Below are 26,520 nucleotides of genomic sequence, written 5' to 3' on the forward strand. Positions count from 1 at the left end.
ACCAATGACAAAAACCACATGATTATCAATGCAGGAAAGGCCTTCGAGAAAATTCAACATCTCTTTATGTTAAAAACTCTCAATAAACTAGGTATTGAAGGAACCTACCTCAAAATAATAAGAGCCATTTATGACAGACCTACAGCCAATATCATACTGAATGGGCAAAAGCTAGAAGCATTCCCCTTGAAATCTGGCACAAGACAAGGATACTCTCTCTTAAAGCTAGAAGCATTCCCCTTGAAATCTGGCACAAGACAAGGATACTGTCTCTTGCCACTCCTATTCAACATAGTATTGGAAGTTCTGGCCAGGGCAATCTGGCAAGAGAAAGAAAGAAAGTGTATTCAGATAGGAAGGGAAGAAGTAATATTGTCTTTTTTTGCAGATGACGTGATCCTATATCGAGAAAACCTCATTGTCTCAGCCCAAAAGCTCCTTAAGTGGATAAGCAACTTCAACAAAGTCTCAGAATACTGAATCAACGTGCAGAAGTCATAAGCATTCCTATACCCCAAAACAGACAAGCAGAGAGCCAAATAATGAATGAACTCCCATTGACAATTGCTACAAAGAGAATAAAATCCTAGAATACAGCTAACAAGGAAAGTGAAGGGTCTCTTCAAGGAAAACTACAAACCACTGCTCAAGGAAACCAGAGAGGACACAAACAAATGGAAAAATATTCCATGTTCACGGATAGGAAGAATCAATATCATAAAAATGGCCATACTGCCCACAGTAATTTATAGATTCAATGCTATTCCCATTAAACTACCATTGATATTCTTCAAGGAATTAAAAAAAAACTATTTTAAAATCTGTATGGAACCAAAAAACAGCCCATATAGCCAAGACAACCCTAAGCAAAAAGAACAAAGCTGTAGTCATCATGCTATGGGACTTCAAACTATGCTATAAGGCTCAGTAACCAAAACAGCATGATACTGGTTGAAAAACAGATATATAGACCAATAGAACAGAATAGAGAACTCAGAAATAAGATTGCCCATCTACAACCATCAAAACAAGCAAAAACCAGACAAAACAAGCAATGGGGAAAAGGGTTCCCTATTTAATAAATGGTGCTGGGACAACTGGCTATCCATATGCAGAAAAGTGAAACTGGAACTCTTCCTCACAACTTATACAAAAATTAACTGAAGATGAATTAAAGACTTGAATGTAAAACCCCAAACTATAAAAACCCTAGAAGAAAATCTAGATGTACGTGCATTCAGGACATTGGCATGGGCAAATATTTCATGATGAAATCACCAAAAGCAATTACAACAAAAGCAAAAATTGACAAATGGGATCTAATTAAACGAAAGAGCTTCTGCACAGCAAAAGGAACTATCATCAGAGTGAACAGGGTATCTATAGAATGGGAGAAAATGTTTGCAATCTATGAATCTGACAAAGGGCTAATATCCAGAATCTACAAGGAACTCAAACAAGTTTACAAGTAAAAAACAAACAACCCCATTAAAAAGTGGGCAAAGGATATTAACAGAGACTTCTCAAAAGAACACATTCATGCAGCCAACAAACATATTTTAAAAAGCTCAACATCACTGATCATTAGAGAAATGCAAATCAAAACCACAGTGAGATGCCATCTCACCCCAGTCAGAACGACCATTATTAAAAAGTTAAGAAACAACAGTTCCTGGACAGATTGTGGAGAAATAGGAGCACTTTTAGACTGTTGGTGGGAGTTTAAATTAGTTCAACAATCGTGGAAGACAGTGTGGCATTTCCTCATAAATCTAGAAAAAGAAATACCATTTGACCCAGCAATCCCATTTCTGGTTATATACCCAAAGTAATATAAATCATTCTATGACAAAGATACATGCATGCATATATTCATTGTAGCACTATTCACAATAACAAAAACATGGAATCAACCCAAATGCCCATCAACAATAGGCTGGATAAAGAAAATGTAGTACATATACAGCATGGGATACTATGCATTCATAAAAAGGAATGAGCTCATATCCTTTGCAGGGATGTGGATGAAGCTGGAAGCTGTTATCCTCAGCAAACTAATGCAGGAACAGAAAACCAAACACCGCGTGTTCTCACTTACAAGTGGGAGCTGAAGAATGAGAACACACGGACACAGGGTGGGGAACAACACATAGTGGGTGGGGCCTGTCGGGGGGGTTGGGGGAGGGAGAGCATTGGGAAAAATAGCTAATTCATGCTGGGCTTAATACCTAGGTGATCGGTTGATAGATGCAGCAAACCACCATGGCACACGTTTACCTGTGCAACAAACCTGCACATCCTGCACATGTACCCCAGAACTAAAAATAAAAATGAGAAAAACATTCCATGCTAATGGACTAAAAGAGTAGCTATCATAGAAATAGCCATACTCCCCAAAGCAATTTACAGATTCAATGTTATTCCTATCAAACTATGTCATTCTTCACAGAATTAGAAAAAAACTATTCTAAAACGTATATGGAAGCAAAAAGAGCCTGAATAGCCTAAGCAATCCTAAAAACGAACAAAGCCAGAGGCATAACACTACTCAACTTCAAACTATACTATAAAGCCACAGGAACCAAAACAGCTTGCTCTCTTTTCTTATCCTACTTTTCTTTACTATTACATTAGTAAATGCAAACTACTTACTCATAAAGTTTCTCATAAAGGATGTAGAAAGTCATCTAGTCAAATAATAAATGCCTTTGAGAGGAAATGTGTGAACCTATTCTATGTAATCTCTATGAGTGATCATGAACAGGACACAGCAAATGTTTCTTATATGTTTCCCCTGCTTTATATTCACAAAGATATTGAAAGAATTCAAGTGCATAGTATACTCTACATTCACTATTTCAATGGCTTTCTTATTGGTCTCTTTGCCATTATTTTCTCTTACCCTAAATTTAGCCCATATGCTGATGACATCATACATTTTTCTAAAGGGGTGACATTCAGTTTTTCAACAAGGAAGTCTAAACTCCTCGACTAACATTCAATAATCTACATGAGTTGCCACCACCCTGGTGTTCATGTCTTACTTTTTACTATTATACTTGGTATACAGTACACTCCAGAGGAAGATGAGTTTGGTTAGGCTGAAAATATGCTTAATTTTCCAGTCACTATCCTGTACTTAAGCATTTCTCTCTACTGGAAATGATTCTTTCTTCAATTTCATGATCTCTCCTTTTTAAAAGCTTTTAAAATAATCACACCTAGCTCGAATGATTAATTCTCCTGTAAACGTTCCTTGATAGCTTATAATCACTATACTTTTCCTTCACTTGGGGGTTTCCTCAGGATATTTTGTTCTTTTTATTGAAATATTTTATTCTTAAGGCTAATCTTCTCTACTGGATATTAAGCTTCCTGGAGTAGATCCAGAATCTTAATTTTTCTCCAAATCACAGTAACTAGCAAAGTATCTGGAATATAGTAGGCCTTTGATATACATTTATTTTCATTAAAGATTATAATAATATATATTTATGTGTATCAAATAGTAAATCAAAGTAAATAATACTTATATTTCTGAGTGTTATTTCATAAGAGCAAGTATCACTTCATATTTAAAATATAAATTTGTTTCCTCCTGAGATAAACATGAAAAGTACCATTGTTAGGAAATATAAAAATAGTATAAGACATAGGAAATAAAAGAATTATATTTTAAAATTAATAACATGATGAATATGTACTATAAACATATGCTATTACTTGATGATTATATCTTATTTAAACTAAATCCAATTAAAATTAAGTGGTACTCCTTATTTCAAAACAGTAAAGGATTAGAATTAGGTTTCAGATTACATTTAAAATTATGTTATTATGTTTAATATTTTGAAATGGCAAAAGTGTTTTGTATTTGGATACTTTTTTCTATTATCTCTATGATGCTTGATGTAGTAATCCCATGCTTATCATTTTTTCTCTGTATTAGCATTATTTATGATTATATGATTTTTGTTTGCTCGTATTTAAGCTCCATCATTAAAACATGTTCACTTAAGTTCTTCACTTTGCTTCTATTTTTTGGTGCATGTGTACATCATTTTGCTTCTATTTTGTGAATGCATTATGTACCTCATTTACCTCAATTGATTTTTAGGAGGCAAGATAAATTAGTAGTTGGTGAGAAAATTTATATCAGCACAAACATGCACAACTATGAGGGCAAGAACAAGATAAATTTTATGGAAATAAATTTCCATAAAAGAGAGCAGAAGAGAGAAACAGAGTGATATTAAAGACAGGTCAGAGTAAAAATGCACTTCAGGGTTACTGGCTCAAGAGAAGATATGAAGGTAGCAATATAGATTGCTAAGAGCAAATAATGCAAAGGCTGATTGACAGGTTAAATTCCAGTTCTGGTACGTACTACAGGTAGGATCTTTGGCAGGTTACTTAGTATCTCTATTCCTTAGTTCTTCTGGTAAAGTATAATGATAGTGGCTACTCAGCAGGGTTGTGTTATTAAATTAGTTGATTTACATTAAGCACTTTGAACTTACCAGTTGTATGTAAATGATACATGTTATTATGTCATAAAAACTTCAAATATCCAGAGATAATAGAATAATAATGATAATAATATGGTATAATATCTAACCCTTTTTATAGAACTGACTCTGCTATGCACTGGACACATTATTACCTCCTTTAATTTCTTCAATTACTCTCTGGGTGCCAACAGGAAAATAATGGCATATTTTAAACAAATGATATAAGGACAGTTGAATCTACCTCAAGAAGGGCACTGATAGCATGGGGCTAGCATAGTGGAAGTCTTTTACCATCCCTAGACCTGAAGGGGCAAATGAAAGGAGGAATTAATGGAAGCTATAGTTATATGAATTGTTGCCAACCAGAAGCTATAGCCCTTGATTGGTGAATGCAGCCAATGTACAGTAACCTGGCAAGAAGAAAGGAGAATAAATACTCTTACTTCACACTCCACCTCCTTCATCTCTGGTCCAGTTGGAAGCTATCAGGCACGAGAACTCAATGATTCCATTCATATGAATAGACCCTCCAGAGCGCAGAACAGACCGGAACTAGGTTCAGAGGGGAATCTGGTGGGCAAATATAAGATACACAGCACAAAGCCTTATGAAATAGGAACTACTGTTCTACTCAGGTACAGATGAAGAAACTGAGGATCAGGAAGTTTAAGTGATTTGATCAGTGCCACAACTACTAAACCAGTGGTAGACTCAAGGTTTGCACCCAGACAGTCTGGCTCTGAGACAATGGTCTTAAACACTGTACCATGCTGCAAAGTGTATGTTTACTAGAGGTTACACTCAGCAAAAGCAGAAATCAAATGAAGCCACACCCATTTTTCTGAGAACAGTAATTTTAGAAGATAGAGAAAGTCATGAGAAAGGTATTGCTGCTATATTTTATTTAAACTGACCAGGAGTAATTGATTGAGGAAGTAGAAGTTTTAGGAAATGGGAGTTTTGAAGTTCATAAAAATCTTTAAATGTAATATAGAGCAGAGTGGTTGTAACCTCTGAGTGGTAAATAATTTTGTCTAGGGATAGAAGGCTTTATATAAATTGTAAATTTACATAAAATTGTCAGAAGGAGGAATAATGGGAATAATATTTATAGAGGTAGACATAAACATTATAAGCACAAACTGTTGAAAAAGAGTACTCATTTTGAATGATATAAGCTACTTTATATTTGAGTAAAACCTTAAAAGTGCTAAACAGGGAAACAAGGCATGTTCATACTTTGGACTTGGTACAGGAAGAAAAACTTGGGAGAGAAAGTTGTATAGCTTGAAGAAATCTATTATATTATTTGAGATTAAGTTCCCATTTTCTTCTAACTTCTCTGTTAGGAACTCACAGTCTGAAACGAATCATGATAACAGGGGAATGAATCCCAAGACAGTTAAGGAGATTGCTCAACAGAATTGAGCCATATTAAATGGATTTAAATCCCCAGCTCCAGATAAATTAACATTGTAAGGACATTTCTACAATCTTAAACTTTTTCCAACTCCACGAAGGATATTTTAACACAATAAAGGCGTCTAATTTTTAACATTTCAAAATAAAAATAGTTCATCTTCCATCCACAAATGTGCTCCGATTTCTCTTTTTTAAAGCCTAGTCTCTTAGTTCACATGATTCTCCCAGTCATGTGTTCCTCCTTGTATCAGCTGTCTTTCCCATTTGATGAATCTGTATGGCCAATCAAGTGTCAGATAGTGCTAGCAAGCCTTCCACCATTTCTTATATCTCCTAGATCCTGTGCAATTTCACTCAGATAATTCTAGTTCAGTCTTCAGTTAAATTAATGCAATAACTTCTTATTGAGCATGTATTATGTACTAGGAAATATGATTAATAATATACTGCTTATGCTATGAAATATCTCATACTTTAATCTGTTTGGGTCCCAGACTATTGTAGTCACATCTTTTCTTGCCCTCTTTTACCCATTCTGGAAGCAGTCTGAATTATCCTGGAGATAAGAATGCAAGAAGAATGTCATCAAATTTACATAAAAATTGTCAGAAGGAGGGATAATGGGAATAATATTTATAGAGGTAGACATAAACATTATATGTACAAACTGTTGAAAAAGGATGCTCATTTTGAATGATATAAGGTACTTTATATTTGAGTGAAATATAGTCCAAGATAAAGATCTGATCATGTCATATCCTAACCATCTTTGCAGGTATCTCTCTTAAATCACCAAAGTTCCATTATGGCTAAATAAATAGCATGAAACTTGTTCTAATGTTTCTTATTTTCTCAATGGGAAGTTCTTGGGACAGGTGGTGAATAGAGAAAAAGAAAAGTACCTTCTCTTGTAGGAAAATCTCTGAACTCTGAATATGCTACACTGATAGGTGATGAGAAAAGAGAAGCTCTAAGAAACTCTTCATAAGGCTAAAATCTGGTTTATGAATTTGGACAAACATGTATTTTTTCTAATTATTTTAAGGTTTATGATTTTAAAAGTTTTACAGAAGAAAGTGGGACTATAACCTTCAAACATCAATTATGCAACATTTAATAGGATTTTTTATGCTCACTTGTCTTTTAAGAATACATAAAACAGAGGGAAAATAAAATAGCAAATTGCTGTGTTATAGGCTAAACTATAAAAAGAATAAATGCTTAAGTAGTTTCTTTCCTAGCACTGCTAAAACTGCTCTTAAATTCTATAATGAAGTTATGATTTTATAAATTTAACTACTCTAATGATATTAATGATATTAGATCCAGCCACTTCCATCATTTCTATTTAACCTTTCCTAATTTAAAGAAATAAGAGGGAAGAGAAGATATACAGTGCTGGACATGAGGGTGTTGATTTAAAGGACTATTATTGTCTCTCAAAAATAAGTATTTCTCTCCCAAGCAGTGCCCAGATAAGGCAATTCTAATTATTACAATCCATTAGATTTAATAATTTTACACACAACAGAATGAGACAGTTAAAATATCTTTTCACAGATAAGGAAATTGAGGTTTATCTCAATAAATATATCAAAAAAATTATCTTGATAGAACTGAAATAAGTTGCCCAGGGTCACATTGCTATTAAGAGCTCAAGCTGAAAGTTAAACCACAGTTTTTTTTTTTGTCATATTATACATTCCAAGATCTTTTCATTTTGTACCATTCTTCCAATCAATATTTTTACTAGACTATTTATCACTGCAAATATTCCAAATCTAATTACATAAGCACTCAGGGGTGAGTTAAATTTTGGCCTCTAATTGCTGTTCATTGGGAATGTGGTAATTTTCCCTCAAGAATTGGATTGATTTATCTTCTTCAGTCTTTCCCCTTGGCTTGTTTCAAAGTGCTAAAATGCTGCTTCCACAAATATCTCACTGTCCTATTATCACCGGTATTTCTAAGACTTTCTTACACCAGCAACATATTCTTTCAGACTCATTTTTTCTTGACTTCCATTTCTTCTGAATAATCTTTTTTCTATGTTTCTTTCATTTTCTCCACACAGCCTATGATTCACTTTCATTTCTTGTTTTCCATTCTACAACCATTTGCTCCTACTATTACTTTGCTTCCTGTAGTGGTATTTTATTTTCTGTTTCCAGTCGTCATGTAAAGGATCATTTCTTTTGTTTTAAAGACCTCAACGTTTAGAGTGAAACATCTTATTCCCGAGTAAGCCCCATGAGGAAAACAAATACTCTTGAAAACATCACAAATGTCTTCACTGTGAATCTTTTTCTCCTCAAATTTAAACCACCTTCTGCTCAAAAGAACATTTACATAAGTATCTCAAAGATTGTTAGAAAGAATGCCAACATGATGAATTAGTAAATTTGACTTATAATCTTCCACTGCTCACCCACATTTACATGTGTTCACCTTACATTAAACTACATGACTCTTCATGATATAAATTATTTGGTTTACCTTGGTAATTAGGTTTAGAAAATAATACAGTGCTATTAAATAATTGTTGTAGTTTGAATGTGTACCCTCCAAAATTTATGTGTTGAAACTTAACCCCTATCGTGGTGGTGTTAAGAGGTAGGGACTTTTGGGAAGTGATTAAGTCATCAGGGTAGTGTCTTCATGAAATAATTAGCACCTTACAAAGGGGCTGGAGGGAAGTAATTAGGCCCTTTTTGTTCTTAGACTTTCTTACCATGAGAAGATACAGCATTTGTCCTCTTTTGCCCTTTCCCTCCCTTCTGCCATGTGAGAACATGCAGATAGCACCACCTATGAGCAATAGGCCTTTACCAGACATCAAACCTGCTGGTGCCTTCATCTTGGACTTGCCAGCCTCCGTAACTGTGAGGAATACATTACTGTTATTTATAAGTTACCCAGCATTAGATATTTTGTTATAGCAGCACAAATGGACTAAAACAATACTATTTTGTTTTCAATAACTAAAATCCATTTAAGACTTCACTATTGATAAACCAAGAATAATTTTTATTATTTTTAATTTTAATTTTTTGTAAAGTTTAGATTCAGAGGTTATATGTATGGTTTTGTTACATAGCTATACTGTGTGATGTTGAGGTTTGGGTTTCTATTGATCCTATCACCCAAATAGTGAACATATTATCCAATAGGCGGTTTTTCAACTTTGTCCTTTCCCTCTCTCTCCCCTTGTAGAGTCCCCACTATCTATTGCCTTGCATCTTTATGGCCATGTGTACTCAATATTTAGCTCCTACTTATAAGTGAGAACACGCAGTATTTCCTATGTTAATTCACTTAGGATAATGGTCTCCAGCTGCATCCATGTAGCTGTAAATGACATGATTTCATTCTTTTTTATGGCTGTCTAGTATTCCATGATATGTATGTGCCACATCCACATTTTCTTTATCCAATCCACCATTGAGGGGCACCTAAGTTGATTCTGTGACTTTGCTATTGTGGATAGTGCTGCAATCAACATATGAATACAGGTGTCTCTTTGGTAGAACAATGTATTTTCCTTTAGGTATATATCCATTACAGGGATTGCTAAAAATAGAATGGTAGTTTTGTTTTTAATTATTTGAGAAATCGCCAACCTACTTTCCACAGTGGCTGAACTAATTTACATTTCCACCAACAGTGAATAGGCATTCCCTTTTCTCCACAACCTCACCAATATCTGTTATTCTTAAACTTTTTAATAATAACCATTCTGACTGGTGTGAGATAGTATTATATGGTGCTTTAAATTTGTATTTCTCTGATGATAAGTGATGTTGAGCATTTTTTCATATATTTGTTGGTCATTTGTATGTCTTCTTTAGATAGGATTATGTTCATGTCTTTTACCCACTTTTTAATATTTTTTTCTTGTTGATTTGTTTATGTTTCTTATAGATACTGTATATTAGACCTTGTGGGATGCATAATTTGTGAATATTTTCTCCCAAGTACAGATTTTAAATAACTAGATTTCTTAACCTGAGTGTTTATATTATTTGAATTGCTTGCTCTTTCACCTTTTTTGCTCATTTGTTCTCTGAAAAGACGCTAGAATAAGTATTATTCTAGGGATAGAACATAATAAATATTTCCTAATTATTTCCTCTTTGATACAAATTATGCTTAGAACAAACCGATTCATATAATTTCTGTGAATTTTGAGAATATATACTAGGCAAAATAAGAATCATTGAAAACTGTAGAAATTCTAAAGGGTTTTCAGAAAGTTTGTTTGAATAAACAAGTCCTGCTAAGTAACTCATCAAAATAAAAAGCATACTTAGTGTACCTTAGAAAATAACGTAACTGATTTGGTCTTTTGTAAGGCCTGGGTGCAATAGGTATGAGTCTTTGTTTACATATTATCAACTTGTATCAATTCCAGAAGGCAGGCAGAGATGCCCTGAAAAAATTCTAAATCAGGAAATTAGAGGATAGCTTCTTTGGGTTATGGAAGATTTTAATTCAATCCTACCAAGATCACAATGTACTGAGATCTTATGATAGTAATTAGAGTGTCTGGTGGAATCTTATTGCTGTTTAGAGACTATCTTGGTGTAGCTGATCCAATTCTCCTAAAATGGACAAGTAGTAGAGCAGCAAGGTTAGCTACTTTGATTATCACTTTCTAATCCTTTCACTATGGGTCTTGAGCAGCTACAATGCCAAGTCATCTGGTAGGAAGTGTATTTGATTTAACTGAAGGGAAGCTAGCAGGTAATCCTAGTTATTTTGCCTAGGGTGTAGGTCTACAGGACAAGGAGTAGTGGTCAGGCACTCAGGCATACAGAGATGAGGTGTGACATTCAGCAAACCAAGTGATGCAGAAATCAAATTCCTGTGAAAGTGATTCGTGGACCAACATTCTTTGCACAATCAAAGACTAATGTGGAAGTCTTGGCACTCAGTAGTTTATAACTAGATATGAAGTGCATTATTGTTACATAGTAAATATAGCTTACATTTGAGTGCGTGTGTGTGTGTATTATAAATAATGACTTTTGCTCTAAGGCATCATACACATTCATTATTTCATCTAATACTTAAAACCACCTATGGAAAATGTTACTCTTATATTGAAGAGAGTAACAGGAGGTTACTGAAGTAACAAGAATGGAGTTGACACTTGGCCATATATTCCCAGGCGAAATCTTTATACAGTTTGCCCTGGTTACTTATGGATTCCACATCTGTGGATTCAACCAATTGCAGATCAGAAATATTTGGATGAAATCCCAAATAATAATATAACAATGAAAAAGTATGAATTAAAAATACAGTATGTGTTGGGAACAGGCCCCAAAATCTGGCCATAAACTGGCCCCAAAACTGGCCATAAACAAAATCTCTGCAGCACTGTGACATGCTCGTGATGGCCTTGACACCCATGCTGGAAGGTTGTGGGTTTACTGGAATGAGGGCAAGGAACACCTGGACACCTGGCCCACCCATGGCGGAAAAGTGCTTAAGGCATTCTTAAACCACAAACAATAGCATGAGCGATCTGTGCCTTAATGACATGCTCCTACTGCAGATAACTAGCCCAACCCATCCCTTTATTTCGGCCCATCACTTTATGTCCCATAAGGGATACTTTTAGTTAATCTATAATCTATAGAAACAATGCTTATCACTGGCTTGCTGTCAATAAATATGTGGGTAAATCTCTGTTTGAGACTCTCGGCTCTGAAGGCTGTGAGAACCCTGATTTCCCACTCCACACATGATATTTCTGTGTGTGTGTCTAATTCCTTTAGCACCGCTGGGTTAGGGTCTCCATGACCGAGCCTGGTCTCGGCAGTATGAAAATGACTTACTCAGTATTTACATTGTGTTAGGTATTATAAGAAATCTAGAGATGATTTAAAGTATACAGGAGCATATGTGTAGGTTATACTCAAACTATGCCATTTAATATAAGAGACTTAAGCATCCATTGATTTTGGTACATGTGGGGGAAAATATCAAATTCCAATACAAATACTGGAACCAATCCCTCATGGATATAGAGGGATGATTGTACTTGTTTTGTGTCCATTGCTATAATTAAGTTTATGCCTTAATTTACACATGAAGTTTAGGAATATTTGTAGAAAGGGAACCACACAATCCTAACCTTGTAATTTGTTCCCAAGCAGAATAGATATGTTCTTATATTTGGATGCTCTAGGTCTGATGGGGCAGAAAATTACATGGAAATCATGTTATGGTCATATTTTGGTAAGAACTTTTGTGCAAAAAGGAGGCAAACTGGATTCCATATGACTGGATTGTAAAAGAAAAATGGTGTTGTGGCTGGGCACGGTGGCTCATGCCTGTAATCCCAGCACTTTGGGAGGCTGAGGCAGGTGGACTGCCTGAGGTCAGGAGTTCAAGACCAGCCTGGCCAACTTGGTGAAACCCTGTCTCTGCTAAAATACAAAAATTAGCCAGGTGTGGTGGCGGGTGCCTGTAATTCCAGCTACTTCGGAGGCTGAGGTGAGAGAATCACTTGAACCTGGAAGGTAGAGGTTGCAGTGAGTTAAGATCGTGCCACTGCACTCCAGCCTGGGTGACAGAGTGAGACTCTACCTCAAAAATAAATAAATAAATAAAAATGGTGTTTTTCACAAGTAACTACTAAACGCTGATGCTGTGGTGCTGGAACTAGTGATATTTATCTACATATACATTGATTTGATATTTTGTGTGAAATGAGAAAAATAAATATGTTTAGTTTCTCTTAGGCTAGATTTATTACATATAAAGTACTATTCTTCAGCTTAATACATTTTCTGCACATCCAAGAAAAGTGAATTTAACTCCTCTTTTATAAAACAGGAATACAAAATACCAATATGTAATGAAAATAAGCTATTTTTTAAATAGTAGAGACTGTGCTGGGCACTGTACTTAGTTCTTTACAAGTACTACTCCTGAGGTAGATACCTTACAATGGCCAGAAATTATTTACTGCTTCTCTCATTAAGATGTGGAGTTTATTTCTTTCCTTTCCAAATCCTTATGATTTGCTATGACCAATCCAATGAGAAAGAACTAACATTTTGTTACTTATCAGTCTCAGCCTCAAGGGGTTTTTACAGATTCCCCTCTCTCCCACTTGGAATGTTGCTTGCCTCAGTGTAAGAAACCCCAGCAGTCCTCTCATTAGACCTCCTGGAGGAGATCCAAGGTACCCAGCTAACCCACCAGATAGATATGTGAGTGAGGCCATCTGGAACTAACTACCTAGTTCTTGTGAAACTTCTAGATTGTGACAACTACATGAAAGACCCCAGAGAGAGAAAGCAGTAGAAACAGGCCTGTTGATTCCAGCCCACATTTTAGAATCCTGAGAAAATTAAATGGTTGATACTTTAAGCTACTTAGATGGAGGCTGGTTTGTTATGCCACAAGAAATATCTGATACACTTTATTATCGATTATCTACTGTGCTACTATTAGAACTTTTTATTAAGCTATTATTATCTCCATTTTACAGATGAAGGAACTGAGGCTCAAGATATTAATAACTTGACTAAAGTCCTAATAACTTACCCAATGCCCTAACAAGTCACATTCTTTACATCCAGATATAGGTTAAATTTTCGAACCTAGGATTATAAGAAGATGATTATCTTGTTTTAAATGTTCATACTTGTTAAAAAAATAGTTGTCAATGCTACATTAGTCCTTTATTTTTTTAAAAAATTTTGCCTGTTGGTGAAATTAAGAAACCTAGAAATTAGTCTCTTAATATTTATCATGTTATAAAGTAGGAGACAATTATATTCAAAAAAGACTGTCAATGTGTTCATTGTTGCATGTCTTGTTTACTGTCTTGTCTCAGGTTCCTGAAAGCTAAGACTAAGGGAGGGTTTGGCATGCAGGTAGTTTACTTGGGAAATGATCTCAGGGAGCAGGAGTTAAGTAATAAAACAGGAAAATGAGCAAACAATCAAGTTGGCATTTGTTACTAGCCACCTGAGCTTTATACAGGTGGACCTCCCAAGGAGTTTTAGTAAATTATCTCAGGAAACTGTACAGTTGGAAGAAGGGGAAACATTGATCTCCATTAGTTGAGAGCAGTTTCATAGTTGTTAACTCTCCATACTTCTTGGCAACCCATGTATCTGAGGGCAGAAGAGAAAAAATACAGGACACTGGCATGAGCCAAGGCATTGCCGCATTTCCAAGTGCATCTTCACAAAGCTGGTCAAAGCTTGCAAGGACATGGTGACCAGAACAATGGCTTAGGAAGCGGTGGAGCCAGAAGGATTTGAGGTGATTATAAGAGGCATCTTGTGCACATAGGTAAATACATATATTTCTCTGAAAATGCAAGAACATTGCTTTGTAAAGATGCCCAGTAAGGTTAAATAACCTTAGGTTGAATGCTTTAAAACCAAAATTAGAAAGATTAGCACAGCGAAGAAGGCATAAACACTCTATCTGACTTCTAGATGCTTGCTTCCCTCCCAATGTCACTAGCAAATGAAAAGAGGCCTTAAACTGCATGTGGTATTTGACCTTGCCTGAATTTTCACTAGTTTGCAGCCCCATATCATTTTTTTTCCATCTGAAAACCAACCATTAGTAATATATCCATGCAAGAGAAATGCTACAATTCTTCTAATGAGCTACCCTTGCATTCAGTTATATAAGGTCAAAGATAAGTGCACTTTATATTTGAGCCAAGCCAACTACTCACAGCAATGTCAGTGCAAGAGAACCAATTCGAACTTAAAATTAATTAGCTTTTTAGTGGGTTGTAAAACTTGCTTAAGGTATGAAGTACTTCCTAATTACAGGAGATTATGGTCATAATCTGAAGAACTGAGGCAGAAAGAGCCTAAATAAAGCAAACTGCATTTCGTTCTTAATTACAAGGAAGTTCAATGTGTTTCATATCTTTGGGAATGTTTGGAGACGATTTTAATATTGTGAGTTTTATAAACTTTTAAGAGACAACAAATAATTGCATTAGACATGTAATGGCTAAAGTGTAAGTTTATATTTATAATTTATAATCAGTTACATGAAATAAGATTTCTTAACACCTGGCACTGGCTAAATTTCTCAAAGAAATCAATTTTCTCACTGCAGTTATAGTTTGGTACTGACCATGTATTATTTAGCAAGGGCATGCTTTTACATTTATGGGCAAGAGTAATTTATGTTCTCATTTTTGAAAGGGGCAGTTGCTTTGCTCTTCACAACAAACATAACTTTGCTGTAACTAAATATTCACAAATGACATACATTAAGTATTGCTTCCAAGACAAATACCAATTTCCTTCCTTAAAAAACATTTTGGCCGGGCGCAGTGGCTCACGCCTGTAATCCCAGCACTTTGGGAGGCCGAGGCGGGCGGATCACGAGGTCAGGAGATCGAGACCATCCTGGCTAACACGGTGAAACCCCGTCTCTACTAAAAATACAAAAAATTAGCCGGGAGTGGTGGCGGGCGCCTGTAGTCCCAGCTACTCGGGAGGCTGAGGCAGGAGAATGGCGTGAACCCGGGAGGCGGAGCTTGCAGTGAGCCGAGATCGCGCCACTGCACTCCAGCCTGGGCGACAGAGCGAGACTCCGTCTCAAAAAAAAAAAAAAAAAAAAAAAAAAAACATTTTGGATTTTTATCTAGTGTCCCTGAGATGAATTATGATCAGGAAGGTTGATGTGGAGTTGGTGAAATTTAGAGATAAATGTACATGAGAATAGATACAGTTACTGAGTGACACAAACTTACTTCTATTATATGCACCTAAGCCATTACTGAAAGTGTAAACAACTTTTGTGAAATGCTTTTGAAATTATCTCGAACTCTAGTGAAGGATGCAAAAGAGATGTTCAAGTGGCATTCACAAGTGTGTTTTACTAATACTAATTTAGTTTACATTTTTAAACTAACACGAGGAAGAATGAAGCCCAGTGTTTACCCTCCTTTGCTTTCTAAGAACTTGTACATTTTGTGATAGAAGTGGATGTAGTTTACAGATAATGTTTTCCCCAAATTACTGAATGACATTGATTTGGAGTGGTATAACAAAGTACTCCTTGCTTTGCAAAGAAATGTTGATAGCTTTAGTGACTGTATTAGTATGTGAGGTATTAATTGAGGACTCAATCCAGGAATCTTTCAAATCTGAAAAAGATGCTGACTCATTTGTTAGTGATCAAGTACAGTCTGTAATCAGCTTTCATCTTGAGTCTGCAGAGAAAAAGAGTAGTGAAATGGGGATGAAGATAGAAAGTTAAATTTCAAGAATTCACTTGTGCTATTTATTTGAAATCTAGATATTATAGCCATGTTACAGAATTTGTAATGGCATGATTGGTTGGTCCTTCGATTTGATCTAGAAATCAAATGTTTTCTTTTGGAATCAAAAGCCAGGCTTCCTTTCTTGACCCCCTCTTAATTACTCCTGTGAGTGCATCTTTCGATAGAATTCAATGTCACATTTAATATCCATATTATCAGCAATTCAGAACCACAGGCTCAATAAAAAAAATGTCAGTGGTCCCAATATCATCTTTAACTTCTAAGTAAGGCCTGACCTTTACTTATTTGCATATATTAAAGGGATCTTTCATATACATATACGTATGTAAATACATTAAATTTTGAAAATATAAAGCAATTTCTTCTTAGTGACTGATAAAAAGACACATTTGAATTTACAAATGAACGCAAAAGGAACATTTATTAAAAAAATCACTAAAAATTTAGGTCCATTTCATTTTAAAAACCACAAACAAGCAATAGATTCTGAGGACAAATGTCAATCTTATAAATACTATAGAATCTCAACATTAGAAGACTTCAAAGTTTATAGATTCGTAAACTTTTATATAATACCTTTAATAAATTGTGAAATGGCACCTATAAACTAATTAATGAAGGTATACCACATATCCAGATACATTGGGATAGCCTAAATATTAGAATATTTTCCAAAAAACATAAATCTATTACCATCTAAAACCTAGACTTTGAAATAGTTGTAGAAACCATGGCAAATGCTCCATATCCGCCTCCCCGTCACCTTCCCCTCAGAGAACATGTTGTTAAACATTTATCAACACACTACCTTGTTTTAGTTTTATTATGTTGTGTTGATTAATGGTTCATTAATTTTTATTGTTGAGTAATATACCAGAAAATTAATATACCATGTTATTCTATCTCAGTGGGTCTCAAATGGAGGTAGTTTTCGTGCCCTGATGGTACATATGGCAATGTCTGGAGATATTTTTGATTGTCATAACTGTGAGATTGCTAGTGACATTTAGTGGATAGAGGCCATGGATACTGTCAAATCCTATAATCCACAAGATAATTCCCACAAAAATAATTATTTGGTCCAAAATGTCAATATTGCCACTCCTAAATAAGCTGGATTATTTTCTCCTCTTGGTGGAAATTTGGCTTGTTTCCTGTTTATGGCCATTATAAATAATGCAGTCTGAGCATTTTTAATATCTTCCTGGGGACATAGGCATTTATATTTCTTGGATAAATAACTAGGTGTACAGATGCTAGTTGTCAGGATATATGTTGTTCAGTTTTAGTAGATACTGACAACAGGTGTCCCAAAGAGGTTATTCCATTTTACACTCCTATCAACAATGTATAAAAAGTATAGCTATTCTGTATCCTCATCAACACTTGAACTTCTTGGACATTTTTCTTTTTGAGGTAAGATTTATATAAAGTGATAAATTCATATATTGTATACCCTTTGATGAAATTTGACAAGTGTCACAATGTAGAATATTTCTATCAACTCAGAAAATTTCTTTTTCTCTTTAGATTAATCCCAGTCTCCATAAACAATCACACTTCTGATTATACTAACATATGTTACTTTTGCCATATATGACAATGCTTAACATAATGCTAACATTATATTGAGGTTCATGCCTGTTGCTGCATAAGTCAGCAATTCATTTTTATTTCCTAAGTAATATTCCACTCTGAATATATCAGAATTTTTAAAACCCATTCTCCTGTTGATTGACATTTAGCTTTTTGGCAACTAATAATAAATCTACCAAATATTTTATCTGTAATTATTTAACAGTACATATGTTTTACTTGAGGGGATAGCCTAACAAGTGAAACTGTGGTGTCATATGCTAAACATGTTTAGCTTAATTTTAAAAAACACAATTTTCGAAGAGATTGTACAATTTTACACAGCCCCAGCAATGTAGGAATGTTCCAGTTGCTCCATATCCTTTCCAATGTTGATGCTGACATTTAATTTTAACTATTCTAGTAGATGAGAAGTGGTATGTCATTGTATTTTTAATGCCATTTCACGGATGACTAAAGATATGGAGCACTTTTTCATACACTTATTTCCAATTTATGTCTTTCTTTAAATTTTCTGATTTTTTTGTCCTAATTTGGTTGAAATTTTTAAAATGCTTTATTGGAGTTGTTCATATATATTGAATAAAAGAAGTATTTTGTCACATATGTGAGTTTGCAGATATGTTCTCCCAGTCTGTGGCTTCTATGTTTTTATTTCCTTAATGGTGACTTTTGATGAGCAGAAGTTTATGGTATTAATGGAGTTCAGTTTTATCATGTTTTGTAGTTAGTGCTTTTTCTGACGTTTCAGTTTTCTAAGAAAACTTTGTTTACTATAAAGTGTATACTATGTTTTCTTTCAGAAGCTTCATAGTTTTAGCTTTTTATTTGGGATTATGAATAATTTCAAATTATTTTACTTTTATGATGTGAGATCAGGGTCAATATATCTCCAGAATTTATGCAAGTGCTCCAGCAACACAACCTGAAAAGAGTTTCTTTATTCCACTGAATTGCCTTGGAGATTTTGTCAAAAATCTATTTACATTATATGTGTAGGTTAACTTCAGGACTCTTATGTTCTGTTCCATTGACATTTATCTTTCCTCATGCCACTATCATACTGTCTTGAATGTTGTTGCTTTATTTAAGTTTTGAAATCAGATAGTGAGTGGAAATAATATTTTACATTTTCATTTTGTAAGACTTTTTTTTTTTTTTTTTTTGGAGATAGAGTCTTGCTCTGTCAGCCAGGCTGGAGTGCAGTGGCAGGATCTCGGCTCACTTTAACCTCCATCTCCCGGGCTCAAGCAATTCTCCTGTCTCAGCCTCCTGAGTAGCTGGGATTATAGGCGTGTGCCACCAAGCCCAGCTAATTTTTGTATTTTTAGTAGAGACAGGGTTTTACCATGTCACCCTGGCTGGTCTCAAACTCCAGACCTCAGGTAATCTGCCCACCTCGGCCTCCCAAAGTGATGGGATCACAGGCGTGAGACACCGTGCCCGGCCCAAGACACTTTTATCTATTCAGGTCTTTTTCATAGCCACAGAAATTTTAGAATGAGCTTGTCCATAAGCATGACTTGATATTTTGAATGATATTGTATTGATACTATTGAGCTATTTGCAGAAAATTTATATATTTAAAATTTAATTTTCCCACCCATGAACATACTATAATTTCTCATACATTTAAATATTACTTAATTTATCTTTGCAATTGTTCATGTTTTCAGTTTGAGGCTCACAAGCCTTCTGATAAATTCGTTTCAATATTTTTTTATCTTTTTTTATTATACTTTAAGTTCTTGGGTACATGTGCACAACGTGCAGGTTTGTTACATATGTATACATGTGCCATGTTGGTGTGCTGCACCCATTAACTCGTCATTTACATTAGGTATATCTCCTAATGCTATCCCTCTCTCCTCCCTCCATCCCACGACAGGCCCCGGTGTGTGATGTTCCCCTTGGACACAGGAAGGGGAATTCGTTTCAATTTTGATGTTACTGTAAGTTCCACTTTTCCCCTCAATATTGTATTTTAATATTTTTCTGCTAGTATAAAAATATATACTGGATCTTGTACACTGTACCTTTCTAATTTCATGTCCTAGTCATAGAGGATTTTGGGGTAGACTCCTGGGATTTTATAGTCAATCAAGTGATCTGTGAATAAGACAGTTTTCTATTTCCTTTCCACGCTGTATGTCTTTTATTTTTTATGTGCTTTATTGCACTGACTAGCATCTCCGGTACAGTGTAGAATCCAAGCAATGTAAGCAGATGTGCATGCCTTATTTGTGGAACTGTTTTAAATTATGAATTCAATTTTTTAATTGATATACAGTTAGTTCCACTTACTGATTTTTTGAACCTTCATGGTTAACTTGTGCCTTTCAAGAAATTTCTCCAAGTCATCAAAGATGTTTAATTGATTGGCATAAAGTTGCTCATAACGTTAACAATGTATTACTTGATGTCTAAAGAAACTATAATAATTTATCCACACTCAATCTTGGTACTGGAAAACATGTCTTTTCTCTACATTTTTTTTTACTACTATTCCTAGTGATTTAACAATGTTATTAGTCTTTTAAAAGAAATAGCTTGTTTTCATTGTTTTTCTCATTTTTTTGGTTTACTATTTATTTTTTACTTTTTAATTTTTTCTTATTTACACTTACTTATTTTACTCTTTTTTAGTTGTTTAAGGCAGAAGCTTGGATACTCAATTTTAGACATTTTAAATTTTTGAATATGAACATTTGAAGCTATAATTTTACTAGCAGAAACTAATAGCCTGAAACTTAAAGCAAGAGGGATACTGTGAGAGGTCAAAAGACTCAGCAGTCCTCATTTCCAACAAGGCTAGGCTTCAAGATAAGTTAACTAAATTTATTGCTCATGCATGTATTGACAGCGGGTGGGCAGGCATGATGACCTCTGATACAGTGATTCCTAATAATGTCAGTTTTGCAAATTACAGAAAGAAACTAATGCCTCAAGTAATGTAAGCCTACAGTAAAACAAGTAATAAAACCAACACACAAAGAAGGATATCTTCATTACAGTCATGAAACCTCCTGCTACAAAAGAAACTTCTAACTGTAGTTAATTCTTATTACCTACATACAACTGTACTTCTTAGCTGGCCCCCCAAAAAAATTATAGTAAATGAGGTCTTTCCCTTTTCTTACTTACTCTGACCTAAATATTTTTAAAAACATAAACCAAACAGATATGTTAATATAAACTCACACACTTGAACATAAATGACTTTACTCTCTCTAGATATTATACACACACAGGGAAAACAAATATGAAGTTTACTGAGTATGTGAAAAGACAAGGAGGAAGCCACAGTAAGGAATCAGACACAAATTCTTCAAGTGAGCTTTACCTCGATAAATTGTTTCCTTCATATTAAATTGTTTTAAAATTAACTTCTAGATGTGCAGATAGAACTAAATGAGAATCATTTATTTATTTATTTATTTTTATTTTTTTAGATGGAGTTTTGCTCTGTCGCCCAGGCTGGAGTGCAGTGGCTCGATCTCAGCTCACTGCAGCCTCCGTCTCCCGGGTTCAAGCGATTCTCATGCCTCAGCCTCTCGAGTAGCTGGGATTACAGGTGTGTACCACCACACCCAGCGAATTTTTTTGTGTTTTTAGTAGACATGGGGTTTCACCATGTTGGCCAGGCTGGTCCCAACTCTGGGCTTCAAGTGATTCACCAGCCTGAGTCCCCCAAAGTCCTGGGATTACAGGTGTGAACCACCATGCCCAGCCCTATTTTAAATTTTGAGGAAAAATTAAATTTACCACTTGTCTAATGGATACCCCGTTTATTGGGAGTATATTCCCAATAAAGATAAAGATACATAAGGCTCTTTTATAGATATGTTGCAAAACATATATTGTTGCAAAATCTAGGCTGGAAAAAGGTGTCATTGAATTCATTATAACAGCTGACATAATTAAGAAGAAAAGTTAGAAGTCACATCATAGCCAAAAAGCATATGGTATCATTCTGAATCATTTGAAATAATTTTAAGGTATTCGTGTTACCACTGTTCTTTGAAATATGCTTTATATCAATAAGAATAGTAGTTATTATTATGGTCTGGTTTTTATCCCCAGATGATATGAATCAGTAAAATTGAAGTGAATATTTATTAAACAACATTATATATTTCTATATCAATTTTAATCTTTTGCCATTTCCTTTAATCCATTTTTAGGAAATTAAAGTTTTTCAAACATGTTTAAATGCTAACATTTATATTTTTAAAACATTAATAATTTCAGATCTGCTGTAAGATTCTTCCAGGCTGGGCAAACTCAACAGCACCTCCAGGATAAAACAAGTAAACTTACAGGCAGTCATCTCTTGTTTTACAGCAAGAATAATTCATGTTTGTCCTAGAACTAGTGCTCTTTCCTGAACGAAATTAGTGCCACCTAATATGCTTTTTCTGCAAAATACAAAACATTATACAGTTAGTGTAGACACAATTAGAAGTAAGAGAATGATAGCGTTGTTAGGGAGAGCTGTGTGGGGAAGTAGTAGTAAAAACTGGCTAGAAGAGGAATGATTTAATGAAATAGCCTGTTGTCCCAAAGAGTTCACTACACGAAAATCATGCTGAGAAGACTGCAGGCTCCCAACTTAGCGTTGACTCTTCCTATGAATCAAGACTTACTCCCCTATCTGTGTAACTAATAAAGTCATCATTATTACTGGGTGTTAACGTTCAAAAGAAAGCAAAGCCATTCCTTAAAGAAAAAGAAACTAAACTACATAGGAAAATTGAGTATAATCTAGATTGAATTTTTATTTCATTCACACTATATAACTTTAAAATAAGAGGCATATTAGCTATTAAAATGAGACTAAAAATTTGTTTAGTTCAACTGAACAATTTTTTCAAAAAATTGTTCAATACTTCATTCAAAGGTGTATATTATGTCATTATTATCATTCCTAATTAGGGCATTGTAAAGTTTTGATGCATGATCAATTCTAGTTTAATTGTCTGATCTCTTGATCTAAAGGTAAATAAAAGAAGGAAATTTACCCTTAGTGAGGGCTGACAATGGACTGTTTAATAAATTAGTCATCTTTATACCTTATCTTCCTTAATTCTTCAAACCTCAAAGTTATCCAAATTTAATGATACAAAACGACAACTATTATATTATGCTTATGATTTCCTTGAGTCAGCGATTCAGACAGCATACATGAGGGCTTGTCTCTGTTCCATGTCTGCAAGCCTACTGGCTTCCCACTGGAATAGCAGGAGTTATTTGAATTGCTGTGGGCTAAAATCATCTAAGAACTTACCTCAAATGTCTGATGCCTGGGCTGGGATGAATTTAAGGCTAGGCTATGTAAGGTAGTCACTTGGAGACCCTCAGTTGTGACTTCATGAGATTCAGGCTTCACACAGAATGATAACTGCATTTCTGGGGAACAAGTGTTCCAAGGGACATAGCCAGAACCTGTAGACCTCCTTCTGACCTAGTCTGAAGAGTCATATAGCATCACTACTGCCACATTCTGTTGGTTACAAGCAAGTCACCAAGACCGGCCCAGATTCAAGGAAAGAGAGATGACACTCTACATCTTGAAGGGGAAGTGGTAAAGTCACATTGAAAAAGCATGTGGAATGTGAGATACTGTGCTGACAGCATTTGGACAATAAAGTTGGCTAAATAAAATGTTACAATTTTAATTTTTACCAAAAGAGCTACTGAGCAGATAGATTGGAACCATCACCAGAGTGTTTTCATTCCAAAGCCCCATGCTCTTTTACTGTTGTGTAAACTGCAGACCAAGCTCCATAAAAAATGCCGTGTTATGACTTTTTGTCACTTTTTTTTGGCTAGGTAGATATTTCTTCACTTAGCAATAATTTGATTGTGTTGTATATGATTAGATTCAAAAATTTTAAAAAAGCCTTATTTTATAAATTAGGGTACATCTAGAATGCTAGTTCAATTTAATAGATAAAGTATTCCTTTTGAAAAATTGTGGCATCTGGTATCTTTAATTGTAGCCAGTCTAGTGACTATTAGACTTGTAATTTAAAAGTTATGGTAAAGCAAGAAAGATTTCTATTAAATTCCCTTGTCATCTTTCAGTTCCTGTTTCACAATTTCCCCTAAAAGTATAATAGCTTATATAATGGAGATATATCTTTAGTTGCCTTCACGTTAAGTTGTAAAACAATACTGGAGTTTGTGAACCAGCTCTTTAATTCTTTGTGACTTCGTCCCCTTTGCCAGCCTTTATAGCCAATTTTCACTTATCTATTGCCATTTCCTGTTAACCCATTGCTGTGAGGGTAATAAGGAATATGATTGGCCCAGTGAAGGTAATATTTGTTATTCCATTGTCATACCAAGTAGGAAGTGAAGTGAGTGCCTTGATTTGATGAAATGTAACTAAGAGTACGGGCACAGTGACTCACACCTGTAATCCCAACACTTTCAGAGGCCAAGGCGAGTAGATCACTTGAGGTCAGGAGGTTGAGACCAGCCTGGACAACATGGCAAAACACTGTCTCTACTAAAAATACAAAAATTTAGTCAGGCAGATCACTTGAGGTCAGGAGTTCGAGACCAACCTGGCCAAGAAGGTGAAATCTCATCTCTACTAAAAATACAAAAAATTAGCCAGGTGTGGTGGTGGGCACCTGTAATCCCAGCTACTCGGGAGGCTGAGATAGAAGAATCACTGGAACCCCTGAGGTGGAGGTTGCTGTGAGCCAAGATTGTGCCATTGCACTCCAGTAAGGGCGACAGTGCGAGACTCCGTCACAAAAAGAAAAAAACAAAAATACAAAAATTAGCCGGGCATGGTAGTCCATACCTGTAATCCCAGCTACTCGGGAGGTTGAGGTGGGAGGATTGCTTAAATATGGGAGGTGACTGGGTGACAGAGCGAGACTCCATCTCAATAGCATTGGCTTCAGTCACTAGTTTGCAGAGCCAAACCCAGAATATACATAAATCTATTTAACTCCACCTGTAACAATAAATAAAGGGCCACAATTATCTACTTGACAGTAATGTTCTTGACCTTGACCGTTGGGAATATGTTCCAGAGTGAACTGCTGATTCCATGTTACTTGATGGAAAACAGGACTAATTTTATTAAACCTTTGAGTTTCAGAAGAGCCAATAATATTTATTGCTTTTATCTTTTATTTAATTGCGTCTTTAAAGTGTTTTTTGTTTGTTTGCTTTTTGGCTGGGCAGCATATTGGTGACTCTTACTTTTCTATCCAGTCTGGTACTCTCTGCCTTTTCAATGTGATGGTTAGGCGATTTTTACATTTAACATGACTATCAGTATGGTTACATTTGAATCTATAATCTTTCTATTGCTTTTTGTTCATTCCATTTATGCTTCATTTGTTTTTCTCTTTCTTTGCCTTTTTTGTTTCTGGATCAAGGAAGTACATTTTATAATTCCATTTATGTCTTTTGTTGGCCTATTAGCTATAAATCTTGTTTTCTTATTTTAGTGGTTGCTTCAAGGTTTAGCATATGTATAATTATCTTATTTAAGTCTACTTTCAAATGATATGATATTACCTCATATAAATTATTAAACCTTTCAACAATATAATTCCATTCTTTCTCCCCAAGCCATTTGCTCTTATTGTTATACATTTTAAATCTATATATGTTTAAATCTCACAACACATTATTTTTGTTAAACAACTATTTCTCTTTTAAAGACTTATAAATAATACAAAAATATATTGACTTACATAGTTACCATTTTCAGTGCTATTCATTCCTTTGCATTGATTTATATTTCCATTGGGTATAACTTTCTTTCTGAGTGAAGGAGTTCCTTTAATATTTCTCATAGTTCAGACCTTCTGGTGAATAATTCTTTCAGCTTTTCAATGTCTAAAAGGATTTTAGTTCATCTTTGTTTTTGAAAGAGATTTTTCACTGGATATAGAATTTTAGGTTTATAGGATTTAAAAAAAATCAGTACTTTTAAAATGTTACTTCATTATCTTTTCACTTGCAATGTTTTCAAAAGAAATATGCCATTCTCCTTATTTTTGGTTTTCTGTATGTAATTTGTGCTTTTTCTCTTTTGCTGCCTTAGGATTTTCTCCATATTACCAATTTTGAGTGATTTGATTATAATGTGCTTTGATATATTTTTTCTTCATTTTTTTCGTGCTTGAGGTTTGTTAGATTTGGAGGGGGATTTCTAAATTTATAATTTTCTTCAAATTAGAAAAATATGCATATACTTTTTCTCTCCTGTCCCTCCATCCTACTTTTTCTCCATTAGGGACTCCAATTTTAGTTTCTAGGTCATTTGCATTTGTCTCAAAACTCTCTAATGCTACTGTCTTAATTTTCTTTCCGTATTGTTTCAATTTGTGCTTCACTTGGACTACCATGTCTTCAAGTTCATTATTTTTTCTTTTGCAAAGTCTAATCTACTATTAATTCCATCTAGTTTTTTAATAACAGGTATTAGAATTTTCATCATTACAAATTTGTGTTTTTTGTATCTTTATGTTCTACTAAGCTTTTGAACATATCAAATAGGGTTCTTATAACTGTTTTCTTGTCCTTGTCTGATTTTTTTTTTTTTTTTTGAGACAGAATCTTACTTTGTTGTCCAGGCTGGAGTGCAGTGGCACGATCTCACTGCAACCTCCGCCTCCCAAATTGAAGCGATTCTTATGCCTTAGCCTCTTGAGTAGCTGGGATTACAGG

The sequence above is a fragment of the Homo sapiens genome, chromosome 14 (assembly GCF_000001405.40).
Source record: "Homo sapiens chromosome 14, GRCh38.p14 Primary Assembly".
Taxonomy (NCBI): Eukaryota; Metazoa; Chordata; class Mammalia; order Primates; family Hominidae; genus Homo; species Homo sapiens.